This window comes from Homo sapiens, chromosome 8 (genome assembly GCF_000001405.40).
Source record: "Homo sapiens chromosome 8, GRCh38.p14 Primary Assembly".
In the NCBI taxonomy this organism is placed as follows: domain Eukaryota; kingdom Metazoa; phylum Chordata; class Mammalia; order Primates; family Hominidae; genus Homo; species Homo sapiens.
In genome coordinates this window covers 92092138-92110500 of record NC_000008.11, presented here as the reverse complement: position 1 = coordinate 92110500, position 18363 = coordinate 92092138, and the positions used below count along the sequence as shown (strand labels likewise).

At 39.4% G+C, this 18363-nt stretch overlaps 1 protein-coding gene across 20 annotated transcripts in view; it reads left to right on the top strand.

Annotated features, from left to right (window-relative positions):
* Window positions 7116-18363, top strand: part of RUNX1T1 (RUNX1 partner transcriptional co-repressor 1) — a 148419-nt gene continuing 137171 nt past the window's right edge. For 4 of the 20 annotated variants that reach the window (XM_047422373.1, NM_001198633.2, NM_175634.3 and 1 more), the window contains exon 1: window positions 7116-7644. Coding sequence is in view for 6 of the 20 variants with exons in the window: in NM_001198633.2 (NP_001185562.1) it covers window positions 7617-7644 (28 nt within the window). In the remaining 14 variants the exon portion in view is untranslated. Of the gene's footprint in view, window positions 7645-10812; window positions 10922-14867; window positions 15155-15270; window positions 15474-18363 lie in introns of those variants that run through there. The other 16 variants (NM_175635.3, NM_001198632.2, NM_001198629.2 and 13 more) reach the window with 7 other exon arrangements.

The following is an 18363-nucleotide window of genomic DNA, read 5'->3' as shown; positions in this document are numbered from 1 at the left end:
CAGTTGCAAGGGACTTGAATGGGTGCTTCTCCTGCTCAAAAGATTCAAAATCAATTACAAGAAATAAACCTGGCTTAGTCTTCCTCTCAGTATTCAAGTCTCCTCTAAGACCCAAACAGAATGCTTAAAAGTGAAAATGTATACGTGACTGCCTTTATGAAAAATATGTTTCTCTTTTCTTCTGAGTCTTCAATTGTCATTAAACTTTAAAAGCACTATGCATTTCAGTTAAACCAGTGCACTATGCATAATTGTCATAAGATGTCAATAGGATGAAGCAAACTAATTTCATAAATAGGTGAGTTGAATTAACCAGAGGCTGAGCCCTGCCTTGCATAGTAGATGGTGCACAATCTCTGACTGAAGACCTCTGTTCACTACTACAAGGGACTGGGGTGTTGGAGTGGCCTGTGGCTATGCACCAGGAAGTAGTAATAAATTGCACACCTTGAATTCATTGGTACATAGTACTTTTACTTAGTTACACACTGCAGGTGGCCCGTGAACCTAGTTAAATACTAGGCGAATATAGTCCCTGGCAAGGGACAACTATCAATGACCTCTTAAATGAGAGTCACAACTCTTCTGCAGTAATCATTCAGAGTTCAACTTTTGAAGAGCTTTCAGTCTTGTTTAGATAAACAGCTTTGTGACTGCTTATTTTATTAGTCTGATAATGGACCTCCATTGTGGATTGCAGGTGCCTGAACAGCAGGTGGGGACGTTAGGGACCTTATTCATGTGTGAGCCTGTTTTCTCCTGTCATGGATGCAGTGTCCTCTATGGTGTTCTGTATATTTTGTGAGTGCATGAATGCTGTGGGCCTTTATGCAAACTGTGAAAATGGAGCTCTGCATATAGAAGGAGGATGGTAAGGTATGATGTTCTCAATGCTTCTTGTAATGTTTAAAATCTTGTTCCTGATAGTGGGGAACAGCATCACTGGTCCACACTATCAGGAGCATTACCTGGAATTCCAGGCATTATCTGGAAACTTATTAGATATGTAGAATCTCAGGCCCCAGCTCAGACCCATTGACTCGGATTTTGCATTTTAATATAATCCCCAAGTAGTTAGTATGCATATTAAAGTTTAGCTGCACAGCTCTTAAGTAATATATTTGTTCTTCTGTATTAGAAAGAATGCCTACTTTTGGCCGGACACGGTGGCTCACGCCTGTAATCCCAGGACTTTGGGAGGCCGAGGCAGGTGGACCATGAGGTCAGGAGTTCAAGACCAGCCTGGCCAAGATGGTGAAACCCCGTCTCTACTAAAAGCACAAAAATTACAGCGCGCCTGTAACCCCAGCTACTCGGGAGGCTGAGGCAGGAGAATCGCTTGAACCTGGGGGGCGGAGGTTGCAGTGAGCCAAGATCGCGCCACTGCACTCCAGCCTGGGTGACAGAGCGAGACTCCATCTCAAAAAAAAAAAAAAAAAAAAAGAAAAGAAAGAATGCCTAGTTTCTTTGAGATGTAGTAAGACTGCTATATATATAATACAAATTTTAAGATTTTGGGCAAATGTCAGTCTAGAAGTGTTTTTTGCTTTGTTTTGTTTTGTTTTTTCCAGAAAACATGACAAACCAAAATTTCCTATCTTGTAGAATGTTTTTTCCTTCAAAGAAATTGGACCAAATTGCAAGGTATGTGGGGTAAACTGGGTGGTTGACATGACCAATCCTGTGGTTTTACCAGTGCCTCATCTAGAGGTTACACTGATCAAATGATTTTCTCAAAGGCACAGATGAAGTCTGGGGGGAAACCTTAGGAAGGTTAACTAAACTGGACTTGGGCAATGGCTATGCCCTTTCTAACTATGTTGTCTTCCAGTGGGACAAAGAGATAGCTCAGTTGGTGGCTAGGCCTGTTGAGAAAAAAATATAAGCAAGAAAAAAGTAAGAACTGAGCAAAGAACTGAACATGATTAACAGCAGTCTATATTTGCTACAGATTTGTTGGCCAAAAATTTCTTCCCTTCCCACTGCTGTGCTGTGAGCCAGTTGGCTTCTGTTTTCTCCCCAGAGGTGGATGCACTACAGTGATGTGGTAATTCCTGCATGAAAACACTCTTATGAGGTGATATGGGATTCATCAGACTGGAGTGCACTATGGAGTAAATTGATATTTTTAAAGGATTAGGAAAAATGAGATGATTAAAATACATATGCATCTTTTGAAGAGTAGATTTAATATGGACATAGATATACTGATCTTGCATAACAAAGGCATAAATTTCCAAATAAAAATGATTCTTTACCAAGTATAAACACCATTTAAAACCATTTAAACAATCTGGATTATATACACTATCAGCGATATAATAATTAAATGAAAGAATGAGAGCATGCCCCAGACAAATTAAACAAATTTTTACTGCATATTGATGTGTATGCTGAAGAATACATGTTTTAACTACTATAGGAGACTAGAAGGAAAGAATTACTTATCTTTAAGATCCTGCTGGCTTGAAGTTCTTTTTGTAGTGTTTTTTTAAAAAATTCTAGTTTATTGTAGAAAGTACAGTGAATTTTCAGAAAAATTTGTGGTTTATTGTAAAATCTAAAAGAATTTTATACACAGTTAAAACAAAAACACATAAGCATATATCTTTTTCACATCAAATTCACCATTATTACAAGAAGTATTGATATGCACATATAAAACAACATGAAAGTATCTATATGCACATATAAAACAACAACAAATTGATATCCACATATTTTTCATTTAAAATCTTGGTAATGTTAAAATCTTAGGTTTCTTAATACTTCAGTCAAAAAGAAGTCAAGTTGGTAGCATTTGTTTTATTTATTTAGATAAGACATCTAAGTAGGAACTTTTTAAACCTCTTATTCATTCATTATTCAACAACTATTTATTGAGCACCTAGTATGTGCTAAGCACCATTCAGTGAGCAATGACCATTGTCTTTGTGCAGTTACAGCCCAATAATATACACCTAATTGAGAATTATATAGACAGAATAACCAGTACAAAATATAGTAAAAAAGAAAAAGATCTTCACTAAACACATTCAACGAAAAATGTGGAATATTGGATTTCCATGGGGGGATATTGTATGATTTTATTCTGGTTTATGGTATTTTAAAAAATCAAATTTCAAAAATGGGGGTGGGAAATATTCAATTTAAATGAGAACGTGAATAAAATATTTTATTTGGCATTGTTATTTTTCATGAATTAGCTATAAAAGATCACATGCGATAATTACTAGATTACAGATAGTTGTACATATAAAAATACATACATGTATGACAAGTATGCATGTGTGTTTCATTTTATGCAATAAATGAGTTCTTGCAGAGTTTAATGTGTCAAAATCTAACAAACACAAATATTTAAATATTTAAAAATTAAAACTCATTTTCTAAAGAAACACTAATATGTATTTTTTTCAAAACTTTTCAAAGTCTTTTTTTTCAAATTAAATAAGTAATTGAAATTTTAAAACTTTGGCTTTGGGGATGCAAAGTGGTTTTAAAGTAGTACAGAAAAACATGACTATCTGAACACATAGGAATCATAAACAAAAATCAACCCAGTGTCTGCAGGTTTGCAGCTAAATCATACCAATTGATCAGTTTATTTGGGGGGATGATGGAAGCTATTTTTAATTTATAATTTTTCTACTTAATGAAGTATGTTTATTAGCTTAGGTTAAAAGTCCACAAACAACTAATGTATGTGTATAGCATATTGAACATGTACTAAGTGTATGTGGCTCAACTACTATACAATAAAATGAAAAGATCTCTGAAATGTATTCTTTTTTTGGTCCACATTCTAAAATGAAACATTAAACAAGTTAAAAAAAACAAAACTGCAAAGATTTGGAATAAAACTTGTTCATGTAAAGCTCAAAAAGTAAATTATATAAAATTATACAGCAAAAGGGAGAGAAATTGCAAATAGTGGGTAAGTCTAAATTTATGAAAACTTAATTATGGCTTGCCATTCTTTATGTTTATCATATTCTTTTTTTGTACAAATACGATAATAAATAATTTTGTTAGAAGTAAGTAACGTGGTAATTAAGGATTTTCCTCAACCTAGGCAAACAGGAGGACTTTTTCAAGGAATAGAAAATCACAGCTTGGGAGTCATTTAAACTTTAAGATCTATAAGGAGGAATTTTAAACATGCTAATTAAGTACTTGTTAACATTTTGTATAGGAATTCCTTTTTGTGAAAGGTGAATCACACATCTCTAAAGAAGGTAATAAGCACTCATCTGAAATTTGTATTGAAAGCTCTGCTTTTTTAAAAGATTGGTTTAAAGGAAAACAAAAAGCATCCTTAGGCAGCATTACTGAAAAAAAAAAAAAAAAGCAAACCACCCTGTAAATTGAAAGAACTCAGTATTTTTACAATAATAAAAATTTGATGATGTGAGAAAAATATCTTCTAAAGTGTGAAAAAATAAAGTTGTTAGCAAGGGTTTTTAAAAATATTTTAAGACATTATTAGGTATTTTTTCTTTTAATTTAGTGGTTTTGTTGTGGTAGGTAAGTGCTTACATGTTTTTGTTTGTTTGTTTGCTTTTAGTAAACTAGCCTTGAGGGTACAGAAACCTTATCTTTCCTGTGAGTGTACAGATATGAAGACTTATTATTCATCCTGTCTCCTTGGATTTTTTAAAAAATCAATTAATAGTTTATTTTGTTTTGAACATTGTCATGTGTATCTGCCACCCCAAGTCTAAGGTTAGCCAAATATTTTATGGCCCTGTACTGTTTTCAGGTAATTCATACTCTCGCACCACACGGTATCAACCAGTTCCTCCCTTTTCATTTAATATGTTTTATTTTCCTAGATTTTGCAATTCAAGAATCATCCTATGCTTGAGTTGGCCCCTATAGTTATTATTTGCTCCAAATAAAGGAGTTAGGAGATAATACGAGGATAAACCCTACAGGAAAATATGTTCTACATTTTGTAGAACACAGGCCTTTCAAGGAGGTAGCAAGTGGGATTAAGGAATATATTGAATAATCTTTATACATCAACTCAAGGATACAGGTTCTTCCACTGCTTTTATCAGAATTTGGAAAACAACTCAAGTTGTGATATATTCTATCTGATATAAAACCAAATCGAGAATTTTTAAGAAGTATAACTAAAGAATGATCATTATTTTTCCAGAAGTATGACTAGCAAAAAGGAAGATCCTTTAAGGTTTGTGGCATCTTACAAAATATGCCTTGGTGTCATGAATGTATCTTGATTGTGTACAATTCTGATTTGATTTCCTGCAAGTTACTTTTCATTGATTTAGAAGTTCAAAGTTTCTACCATAATTTTACACCTACACTGGCACAATTTACAGACAGAAGAAAAATGCAGCTAACATTTCTATTTTATTTCTGTCCCTGCTTTTTTATATCATAAAACTATTGCTGATTTACTTTTTCTATATTTTAAATTATGATTTTAGAAGTAACACTATTTCACAAGAATCATTCCTGATTCAGGTATCACTTTTTAAATTTTAAATAAAGATGACTATATGCCTCCAGAATCCAAATTATTTGGTTTCAATTTGGGGGACAGAAGAGATAATACAGGTAATAGAATAATAAAATGTCAACATGATTTTATTCTTTTAAGAACAATAGTAAGCTTTGACATAATTTTCTACACAAAGGAGTTATATTAGTATGGTGTACATAAAATTTTATAGTTTAAGATTATTCATGCTATTAAGATTTGCGACTATAGCAAAATATAAAGAACTGTAATACAGAAATTATTATAGAATGTACACCTTGATAAAATGAGATTCAAATTAAGAGCATCATAATATCAAATACCAAGACTTAACATTGCAATTCATTAATCTATTATAATTCATTAGACAAATGTCCCAAGGAGAGGGGAGAATGTACAATGAGTGTTTTCTGGAAATGAATTGCTAAAAATTAGTAGAGTCTGAAAAGACTTCAGAATTGGAAGCTCCAGCTGGGTTTAAAAGGATGGGGGAAGGGATTTTACTCACTATTAAATATTTGAAACACCACTTCAGAAAATAAAACCCACAAATGTCTCATCAGTTCTCAACTGCATCAGACCGACTCAGACTCTATCTGATGCCTTTTTTCCTTTGTAAAAATGAGATTTTAAAACACGTATTCAGGACATCTTACATTGATTTAGGCTAGTTGGAGAAAACATGGTTCAGAGTAGGATTTCAAATAGTTCCACTAAATACAATAACATTTGCAGTCAGGGTACCGTTCCATAGTAATTTTAAAAGATTTCATTTTACTTATCATTGCAAGCCATTATCTGATCATATTTGACCTACATATTAATATTTTCATTATTATTCAAGCCCTTTTTGGCTCTGTACAAATTGTCAGTCCTCTTCACCGAGATTATTTATTTACTCTGGAAATATCTGGAATTCTTTCACCCTATCTTTTCCTCCGGGACTACCCCCCACACTGCCCCCAAGTATTGATATTAATGTCTGGGGGAGGGGGACACATCTAACAAAAACCTGAGATAGAAAGCCGTCCCTCTTAATGGTATACTATGGGAGAAGTAGAAAAACAAAGAGAATAAAAGAAAATGATAATTGTTTTCTCTAAGGCTATTATCTAATGCGAAAGCAAATAGTCAGTCTGGAAATCAGCTAACAGAAGGGGATTAGAGAGGAGATCTGAGAGTGGCTTGATTTCTAGCAGAGCTGTCTCTTCAGCCAGTGATGAGACACAGGCAGGGCAGCCGGGAGCGCTCCAGATGGCCGGGGAAAGTGGTCGTCTTGGGTTACTGCAGGGCACTCGGGCCGCCTGAGAGCTGGCGGCCCGGGAAGGCATCATTAGGGAGCCAACCCCACGTCCAGCCTGCATGGGAGAGGGCGAGGCCGGGAGGGAGGCCGCCCGCCAGCCCGCGCGCCCTAGCGTGCCGGGCCTGCCCATTGTTAACATATACTTGACCTCCGTGACCCCCGCACAACACAGATGTCTCCCACCTCCACCTCCCCCACGCCCCGCCGCGGGTCCTCCCCCCTGCACCTGGTAGCGGCCGCGCAGCCGCCTCCCTCCCGACCGGCCGCGGCGCCCCTGGCGCGAGCGTGCGCCGGAGCCGGCCTGATGCGGGCGCTCTCGGCGCACAGCGCGCGGCGCTCCTGCTCCCCGGCGGACGCCCGGCCGCCCTGCAGATAAATGCGTCGCCTTCCTCGAGAGTGAGCGAGGGCGGGCGAGGGAGACGCAGACGCCGCCTGTGACAGTGGCAATTCCCTGCGCCCCACATCACATTTGTCTGCCACAGCAGCAACAACAGAAAAGCGGAGGGAGGGAGGGAGGCGGGAGGAGGGGAGCAGAGCTCCGCAAGTCTTGGGCTCTGCGTGGAGGTTGCGTTTGGCTGGCGTCCCCGACCCCGGGCTTTTTGCACGGCAGCTCTCTCTGCGCAGCGCCGGGCGGCCGTAGTCGCTCCGCGGCGCGACTCCGCGGTCTCGTGGCGAGCGCGCGTGGGCGAGTGGCCGCGGACACTCTGGCCTCGCGAGGGAAGCCGCGCCGCGTCCTCGCCCCGTCGCCCCGCGGGCCGGCCGAGACGACGGGAAGTTTTATTTGCAGCTCGGAGCCTGTGGCGGATGGTGGGACTCTCCGGCCCTGTGCAGTGTAAGTGTCCGCGGTAGGGCTTGGCCGGCGGGCGGGCGGCGGGGTCGGGCCCCTGACTGTTATTAATTACTGTTCCGATGACCGTCATCTTCGTTTGGATTATTCGACCGCGAGGCTCCAGGCTGTACTTGTCGCTCAATTAGGGTAGGACTACGCACCAGGGCAAAGAGGAACATCGCGGGTGACTCCGGTCTGCGATGACACTGAACTTCGCGGGTCAGCCGAGGATGCAGTTTTTACTATTATATTCCCCACAGTGTCTTTTAAAAATAATTTTTCTTCCCTCTCCATAGTCACGGTATGCGAGCAGGAAGATGACGAGTGGGTTTCTCCCCCGACAAAACAACCGATCGAGGTGCCCACAGTGCATTTGGCAGGTGGCCCTATGCCCGCATCGTGGGTTTTTTTCTTTTCCTTTCTTTTTTTTTTTTTTCTTTTCTTTTTCTGTAAACTGGAAGCAAAGACTTGTTTTGATGGTGGAAAACTTAGCCCTAAGGAGTAAAGAGGCGGGATCTTAACTTTGGGACCCGGCTGCAACTAGGGTGGGGGTTTGCTTAGAGGTACCCAGGCGCTCTGCGCCTGCCTGCGAACTTTCCTTGTTACTCCTGGCCGTTTGGGGTGCTGGACTGGGAAGCTCCTGGGTGAGCGGGCGGACGGCGGCTCCCGCCCGAGGCTGGTCCCGGGCTTCGCAGTCAGGGGCCGATGGGGAGAGTCGTCCCCGCCCGACCTCTGCGCGCTCTGGACTCAGCCGCCCCGGCCCTCCTGGGTGTTCCCGTCGCGGCCCCGACTCGGTGCCCGCTTCTTCTGAGTGGGGAGCACAACCTTGTGCCCTGTAGCTCCCGCCCGAAGGGGTCCAGACTTGGAGCCACGTCCGGATAATTCCTTTCGTTTTCCAGAAACCCCTCTGGTGAAGCCCCCGGGCCAGTGGAGACGCGCTCCAGGGCCCGCCGCTCACCGCCCTCTTTGCGAACCTGAAAGGACCGGGTTGGTTGGCGCACCCAGACCTCTTTCCCGGGGGGGACCTGGCGCTGACTGGGGTGCTTTGAGCAAATACGGCTAGGTCAGCACAAGGCGCTCAGATCCATTTTTTGAAACGTGCTATTTTTTATTTTTTGTAAGGGCGGTCAACCCTTGGAAAAGTTTGAGTACTATGATTCCGGGAAGTAGGATGTGAGCCACAACTGTTACTAAAAATAGCCGCCTTCCCTCCCCCTCTCCCCCAAAAGGCCTTTCAGTTTGGAGGATTTGGCTGGGCGGCCGTGCAGCCCATGGTCTCATTCCTTGCAAAGCGTAACGGAGAAACCCTTGAAGACTGGGCACCACAAATTCCACCGTGCCCTAGTCTGGCTGCTGCTTCCTGGGGGAATCTGCAGAAGGTCGCTTTAAGGAATAGCTAGGATTCCCGTGGAGGAGGTCCTGCAGAATAGTGCCCGAGGCCAGAGCTAGGGAGTGAAGACCAGGAGAGCTGGAGAGGCCACTCCAGACAAACTTCATGTGCTTAATGTAACTCTGAGGCCCCTTGAATCTTTAACTTCGCTTTTCTTAATTAATCTGCCCAGAGCCTGTATATAAATGGCTGTCCGCAGCTGCTGCAGATTGATTTATCTCCTGATAAAGGTCGGGTTTCTGACCAAAGCATTCCTTATACCTTCTGTGTGAACTGAAATGTGTTTTACAGGGATTTTTTTCCCTCTCCTAGTCTCCTTTTCAACATCTGTACCATTTTTAAGTGCACTCAGTAGCTTTTATTATCATTGCCCTCCTTTGCATAGAACAGGAGTGGAACTGGGTCTGTGCCCAGTGAGTCCACACTCCCTAGAATACAAATTGACCAGCTTCTCTGTGATAAACGGTTTGTTAGTGTTGGGGGCCTCCTTTTAGTTTATGGCAGCGTTTGCCTTGACCATGTGAGTATTCTGTTGTGCCCAGTTTCTCCTGTCACACAATTCTTTAGAAAAGGTCACCAAACACCATTGTTTCTTAAACTAACATAGCCCCAACCTGAGTGTTTATGTCAGCTGTGATGTGTATACACAGAAGCAAATTTATAATTCTGTGGATTTCCCTCTCTTTTATCCTTAAAGTCTAGTTTGTAATATTATGATTTTCAGATAATAAAGATAGGGTTATTTGATTTCATTTTCGTTTTTTTCCTTTACTGATTTTTTTGTTTGTTTCAGAGAAGTCTGACAATCTCACCCAATAGTAATCAGGGAATCTTGGTTTGATCCGGGCTTTTTTTGCAGCCAGGATGGATGCTGAAGAAGTTGAAGTCCATTATTTCTTGTGCTGTGTTCAGCATTTTATATTTTGTTGGTTTATTATTTTAAAAGATGAAATTCCAACAAAACAACCAATCAGTCTTATACTGGGTGCATAAAAACGGACTTTTTTAATACTGAGGTTAACTTTTTATTAAATATTTTTGTTCAGTCATTAATAATTTTATTATAAACTAGATAGCAGTGACTTTATTTGAAAAGCTAAATATTGCATGGGAGAATTTCAATACTCAGTTTCTCCAGTGTCCAGTTTATACCTAATAAAAGCAGTGGAGAAAACAGTCTATTTTTTCTTTTATGTTTGTACAACTCAAAGCAGACTAGAAGTCTTTGAAATGATATTTTCCTTTGTGGACTTAGTCTCTGTGGTCCGTTAATACCTGCTAATAATTTGTGTTAAAATGATCTTTAAAAGGTCCTTTCTAATAAAAATCATTCTATGTGCAATACAATACATTGCACTATTAAATTGCAAGGACAGTATTTTTGCAGCTATGGGACTGCAGCTTTTTAATATTTGCACAATTTTCTTTTCCTGAGAGGAGTAAAATATTGCTCTTGATGTTAGTATTTGATGATGTGCTCTCCCATTGAGGTGTTAGTCTAAATATTTGTAGATAAAAGAGCACTTCATAAATTGCAAAGAACTACACACATTTAAGGTGCCATTATAATTTATTTTATTGTCAAATCGAACCGTAGCCAAAAAATCTTGCATTTCTTTAAACACTGAAAAAGGATCACAAGAAAGAAATGCTTCCAATAGGAATGCTGGTCAGTGGTTGTCAGTTTAGGACATTCTTCACTGTCAAATCCTGTTTCTCACTTCTTTGATATGAACATCAGCTGACAGGCACTGAATGCAAAGCCTTCTTCACTGAGGTTTTATGCAGGCAACATAGCCCTTCATAGCAAAGCAGTCTGAAAAATTGGCACCTGCAGGATTTGCATGTGAAAAAAACGGAGTCAGTTGCATTTTGCCGGAGTCTATTACTGTAAGTTATGTAAGTTCAGTGAGAAAGGCTATTTATTTGTTGCTGTTTGGGCATTTAAAGGTTCTTTGTTTTATGGACACCTTATTCATCATATAGTGATCCACAGACTTTATTGATAGCAGAAGCAGGGAGAAGTGAGCTCTGGCTTTATAGAAGTTATTTATTATGGAATGGAGTTGCTTTTAACCATGTGCTTGCAGAGTGCACTTACATTCATAGTTAATTTTTAAGATGTGCCTTGAAAGAATGAACTCATTCAACTTTGAGAATAATCTATCAGAAGTTAAATGCATAAAACTAAGTTAACATATCCTTTGAAAATAAGGATTTTAATTTCTACATGTTAATAACAACTTAAAATCTATAAGAAAAAAATTTATTCTTTTTCTAAATTCAAGAAAAATGTTGTCTCCCCCAACTTGTTAAATTATGTTTGCCTTTTAAAAATCAAATTTGACTCTATTTATGCAAAATAACAAATATTCAATCAACTAAAACACCTCTGTGAACCTAAGTATTATCTGTCAGTGGGAACATTTTATCCAGAATAAGCTATTTATTATTATCTAGAGACACCTTCCAACTTCACTTTTTTTCCACAGCCATTAATATAAGAGTTCCTAAATAATGTTTAAAGAACAGTGAACATTTTATTAAAGCAAACATTAGTTCAGTTTAATGGAGGTAATTGTAAGTGATAAGACAGAGCAGGTTATCTCTGTGTTGTTTAAACAGAAGGAGCTACTTTGCACCATTTCCAGTAGCCATCTGTAGAAGAGAAGGGTTTGCACCTGTCTGTCCAAACTAATTATAGATTAGGGCCAAAGAAATGAAATTCGAGGAGGTTTTCAGCTAATGAAATCCATACTGATTTTATTGTAAATGCGTTTTATGTAAAGAGGGTGATGGTTGAGTTCTGAGTGAATAAATCGCTATGTAGCTGCTAGGCACTTGGTTTTGAAGCACAATTCTGCTGCATTAACCTTTGATATTAAAAAAAAGACAAACAACTTAGACATGGATGTTAGCCTTTGTTTGGCATCCATAGCTACAATTTAGTGAGCAGCAGTGAGGTTCAGTGTGCAATTTAGAAATGTGCTGTATAAAGCAGCTTAAACATTAAGAATATTATGATATTCTGAAATGCAGATGAAGTAGAAGGTAGGTTCTGTTTTAGCTTATGCATATAAAACATTGGAAAATTGGAAAGGCTTTTTCTTTTTCCTGCATTTCAGCTTTGTATCCATGAGAAATTAAAGCAAAATGAGTGAAGAATGCATTCTGCAATAAAAGGTCACATGAATGTCTACCACATCTGTTTATAGTAATTATGAACATAATTAACATAAGAATTACAAATGAAATAATGACAAGCTGAGCAATGAGATATTATGCCATAATGGTCATATGTTGGAATTCTCACATTATAGCACACTAGAATTCACATACTCAAAGAAAGAAAGAAAATGCTAGATTTTTATCTGAATTAATGCTTCAAAACTTATCTGCCTGGGGCAGATGGACTTCTTCCTTTTATAGGAAGGTAACCTATTATTAAGAAAAGAACTAGTTGAAATTAAGATTTCTAGTCTCTAGCCTGGACTTTAAGACAGCTGTGATTATAGAAACCACTTTCTGTTTTACACTTCTGTGATTATACTTCTTGATTATTGTATTGCTGTTTTTTTCTTTTAATTGAAAGCTTTGCAGCAAAGTGTTTGCTTTGGAAGAGAGTCATGGATTCTTCCCATTTGAGAATTGGTTGATCTTTTCTATAACTGTGAGCCAAAAGTCAATGAACAAACAAGGTACTAATAGAAATACTGTGCATTTACAAAATAAGACCACTGGCAGATTAGCTTTTGAACAGATTTCTTTATGCCTCTAGTATTTGGGATGCCCCTTTTAAAAAAAGCAAACCTTTTCTGGGTTTGAAAGCAATAGTAATGCAATTTTTTTTAAAAAAATAGCATTTCTTAAAAGAGCATGTAATGGAAAAATCAGGGGGGCACTTGTAAATTGTATTTTTCTTCCTCTGGAGTTTTCTTGGATTTTTAGGTGTTTGTATGTAGTCTGTGTCCAAGCTGATCTAACTAAAATGCAATAAAGGGTGGGGGTATGTGTGGTTGCTTTCGGTTACTCTGAATGCATTTTTCTAGAATAGCTAGAGAAAAGGTGAAAGGTGACCTTTTATGAGAGCTAAAGTGATACGCTAGAAATCTGTTATTAAATTTAAAACATGTAAGAATGACAGATTTTCACCCATTTAAAGCTCACTGGATTTTGTAATGTAGCCAGCCAAGTGTTTTACTTCCTATCCTTGCACCCTTCTCTAACTATTGAACCTGGTCACTTTTTGAAGATTTATGGAGAAATATTACCTTGTTCTCGTCTCAGTGATACCATGAGGTTTTCCACGTTATTGGATTACTGGAGGATTGTGGCAGACCCCTTTTTATCTGACATTCATTGCATGACAAGATTTTCACACATGCCCTTCCCCCACCTATGCCCAGCTTTTTTCACTTTGTGTTACCTATCAAATTTCTTTTAATTCTATTCTTGGGGTTGGAACATTGGTGTGTGTGTGTTTGGGTGGGGTGGGGGAGAGGGGGCGGTGCTCAACTATACATAAAACCGATTTTTGGCCAAGTGATTTGGAGGGGAGTGCCTGATTAAACAATGCTTCTCCTCATTTTCTAAAGGGCCTCTTAAAATATGGTTCCCTTAAAAGGCAGGGGCTAGTTCTCTTGCTATTGTTTTTTTTTCTACTCACTAGCCTTACCCTTCATCCCCATTTTATTCCTTTCTAGGGAGACCCCCTGCATAAAACTATTTTATAACCTGAAGTTTCACAGCAGCTAGGGCTACAGTGCACACCATGAACAATTGTGTAATTTATTGGCTCCTTCATTCTGAACTCACTCTTGATGCTGTAGTGAGAGCTTCTTAACCAAGCTTCAGTGCCTTGAAACACAGCACAACCAAATACTTCCCCTCCCCCAATAAAATAACCTCCTTTGCTGCATTATCTGCACTCCATTAAGGAGCTGATCAGATGTTCACATTGTCTGATGGGTGTATTTAAAAGTGAAAAGGGACTCCCAAGGGACTACTCAGGTGTGTCTCCTTCCTGACCCTGCTGGGGAGGGGGATGAACTCTGGACTGACGGACAAGCATTAGCCCTTGCTTGTTCTCTGATTGATTCTCTGGCTCTGGGTGGGTGAAGAGCCATGAGGCAGCTCAAGCCGAGATTGATTGCCTCAATTTCAGATTCCCACCTCCAAAATAGACTCTCAGATGCACACATAAGGAGCCTCCTCCCCCAACACAATTTCTGGAGGTGGAGCAGGTCTCTAAGAGTCACCTGTGGCTACCAATCACAAGTGTTCCTCCTTATCACAATGATGCTGGCTGCAGGAGTCTTCAGCTGGGACACATTAAAGTTCAGGGACAGAAGCTATTTTATATCTCTGAGTGTGTGAATGTGCAGGGGCTGGAATTTAGGAGTATTGGGGTTAGCAAAGAAAGGGACAAGAACTCCGACTTGAGGTTGGTCTGGAAGGCAGCTTAACTGCTCTATAGACTCAGTAGGTTTGTTTTGCAAAATGTGGCTGTTTGGATGGAGGTGAGATGGCGACTGTCTCCTTAGGCTCTGCCAAAAGAGAGCTCTTGATCCTCCTCTGACCTTGACAGAATCTCGAACATGTTCCAGCCTAGCCCTGGAGCAGGGAAATACAGTTTGCTGGATTCCTCCCTTCTTTGGGTGGTAGGGGCAGATTTGGGCATGCAGGCGACTTCTAGCCTGCCTCTCATTCCCAGATAGCCTTAGGGTAGCTCTCCCCCACTTTCTGGCCCCATCCTGGGGTCTGAGCCCCCGCCCCCTCCTCCATCCCTCCTTCCCTCCTGCCTGTGTCTCTCCTTCCCTCCTGCCTGTCCCTTTCTGTCTTCTCTCTCTCTCTCCCACTTTTCCTCCCTCTCCCGCTCCGTCTCACACGCACCCTCTGTTTATTTTCCTGCCTCCATCTGGGCCCTGCTGATATTGTAATCACCCTGATGCACGTTGGCTTCTCTCCTCTCCCTCCTGCGCTCACACACTCACTCACACACAATGTGCCATCCTGACAAGGCTTTTACTTCTGATAAGCTCCAATGTGTGTTTAATGAATACAAAGCCGCGGTCTGGGTGCCGCCTCGGCCGCGGCCGCTCTCCCGCGCTCCTTTGCCAGAAGGTAATCTCCGTGAACAGGGGAGGGAGGCGAGCAGGGAGGAAGGAGGGGTGGCCAGGAGGAAGGGGGGCGTGGGGAGGCGGCTTTTCTCTCTCCCTCTCTCCCTTTCCAAATGATTCAGAAGTCGATAAGACCAGGAGAAGTGAAGATGTAACATGTTATCTGTCGCTCCTCTTAGCTGGCGGAGAGAATTTACATTTAAAGATTAGCAGAGTGAGAAAGAGAAATCTGCCTTTTGTTGTGTGGGGTGAGGAGGAGGCATCTACCCCTGGCCTTGACGCTATCTCCCATCACCTCTGCTATCCAGACAGGACTCACCGAGGTGAGAATACCGGAGGGCCTTATCTTTAATTGGGTTTAGTTTTGCCAGTCTGAATAGGTTTAAAGAGACTCGATAAAGGGGGAACAATAGATTATTTATTGACTGGACGCTGAAGCCTTTAGATGAAGAAGGGAGAGACAAAGCTGCTTAACAACTTGATTAGTTCATTTTTATTTTAAGGTGAGACTGTCTCTCTTTTGGTGGAAGGAAGGGCTAGAGAACTTTGGTGCAATTTGAATGACTTAAAATGTCTTATTTCCTCTCCCGACAACCCCCTACCCTTCTCAGCACCATGCACCTCCCTGATTTAACAGGAGTTTCGTTTACCCCTTGCATTTAGGATTGATGAACTGAGAAAAGAGGGTAAAGGCTTTGGGATTGATCATTAATGTTTGGTTTTGTGTGACTTGTTTTAAATGCGTGATAAATTGATGCTGACGGTACTTGAATGAGTAAGAAAAGCAAATGAAGCCTACTTTTAATATGGAATTAGTTGACTTTATAGTATGGCTCAACTCAGCCTAGAGGAGAAAAAAAAATCACTACAAGTCTGTTAGGTAGATTTGTATTTTGGATTTGAACCATGAAATCTTTTGGTTGGAGCTAGTTTAAAAAAAGGAGAAAACATGTCTTATTGACTCACAAGTATTTGAAACATTGTAATATCAACTTTAGAAGGTTCTTAAAATGAAGAAAAGTGGAAAAGATGGTTGTTTTGCCTTCTACACATTGTCAAAATAGGTGTTTTCATAGATAGATAGATATGATCCAGTAACTAAAAGCCTAATTAAAATTTGTTTAAAGCCAGGGGGGCATGTTTCCTTGTTGACAGCAGCAGATCGATTGGGTAAGACAATAGAGTCCCATTATTTTACTTCCATTGACTGAACATATTGACATTTCAGGTTTGCTGTTGCCTCAGTGAGCATGATGAAACACTGAAATTCACAGACCAACTGGCCAGAGTGGCACATATATTACTGTATGTCATTTCTGCCTTCAGGTTACCTTATCACCCAGACAGAATGGAAAAGGACAGCCTGGAATCTTTCAGAAAGGGTAGAGCTCTTTTGGCTAAGAAACTAGCAGATAGCATGTCTTAGGAACATCTTTAATTCTACCCCGAATTGGATGTTACAGAGAAATAGGTGGAGCACGTTTAAAAATATGAAAAGCATGCTAGCCATAGATCTTGCATATTTTATATAGAAGGATATCCATTTTCAAGATTTACCTTTACCTGGAGTTATTTACAGTGAGTGGTCAGTCACTATTTAGGTGACCAGTTTGTTGCATGAGTGACATTCATTCTTTTCCAGTCGGGTACTGAAACAGCCAGGCACCTGCTAAATCTATATCTCATAAAATAATGTGTAAGTTCCCTTCAAAAATAGGGCCTGACTCTGACTTTTTGTTTCCAGTTTTCTTTTAGTGGGTGGAATACACTTGATCTTAGCCAAAAGGCCGAGAAGCGATAATGGGTTCAATACAAAGTGAGATGTATGTATTTTACACTCAAGTGCATGCATAGACAATAACTTATATAGATTAATATGTGTATTTCAAGCAAAGGCAGAGAAATACTAAGTATTTGTTATCTTGGTGTAATTTACCCTTTCACACATTTTGCATAGTCTTTAAATAACAAAACTAAGCATTAGGCAGACATTGAGTCAAAGAAATTTGAACCATACAGAGAGTGAATATGAAAAAAAAAACCAGAAGGGACTTAACATATTTTTATGTTAAAGAAATTTATGAAAATATAAATCTATTTTGACTATGACTTATACATGACAATTGTTGCCATCAAGTAGGCAACTGATGCCCTTTACAGTGTTTAGAACAAAACTAGTCCTTTATACAATTTTCATGAAAATGTTAGGTTTCTGTTTGATCAGCAGGTGCTGTTGAGATGAAAGCCATGTGTAAATTTTCAGAAGGCCAAAAGTGTCAATTCAGAAAAGGAAAGTGATAAGAGAAAATGCAATCAGTTTTCCTGTTTTCAATTTGTGCGGGATTTGAAGAGCTGTTTTGTTAAACTGCTACATCTGCTCCAATATGAATATTGAACTACTTCCACTAAAAATAACAACCTATAATTTGGAAGCTACTGCAGTCTTTTGTTAATGTGAGTGGGTTATTTAAAAACAAAAAAACAAAAAAATAAAAAAAAAATTTTCTATTCTGACAATCTCTTGCCTAATGTGCATTTTCATTTGTTGGCACTTTTATCCTCAGCAGATAAATGGTAGTATGCAATTAAGACCTCATCTTGTTTGACTATAAAAGAGGTTTCCATAGGTGAAAATCCTGGTAATAAAAAGGGGTTCACACAAAACAAAATTTATTTTAAAATAACCTGTTTAAATACATGTATTGAAAATCAGATAGTTATTCCTTACATTCTCTAATACTACAATTTTTAACTTACTGCCGGACTGTTGTAACAAAGTTAACACTGTTCTTGCATACTGAGCATTCCGAGATTTATTTTACCTTTAATATACCTGCAAATGTAAGTTTAAACTAATCAGGGATATTTTACTAACAGGGCTTTCAGAATAATCTTTTCCATGCTTAAATAAAATGATTAAATTATGCTTGAGTGCCTGCATACAAAAGCTTTAGCTTCTATAGTACTGCTAATCAAATAAGTTTTATGGACAGGGAAAGCACCACATAGAGAAAAATTGGATGCATTTTACTAGTGACATTGCTAGGAAAGACATGTTCTTTTAAAATTATCTAATTTTAATTAAAAAGGAAACTCTTAAGATGTCTTAAATAATCATAATAAAAATAATACTGCGTCCTTATAACAAGAAAGTGAATGGCAACGCTATCCATATAAAACATGGGCAGAGAGAATTAAACTAGAAGGAAGGAA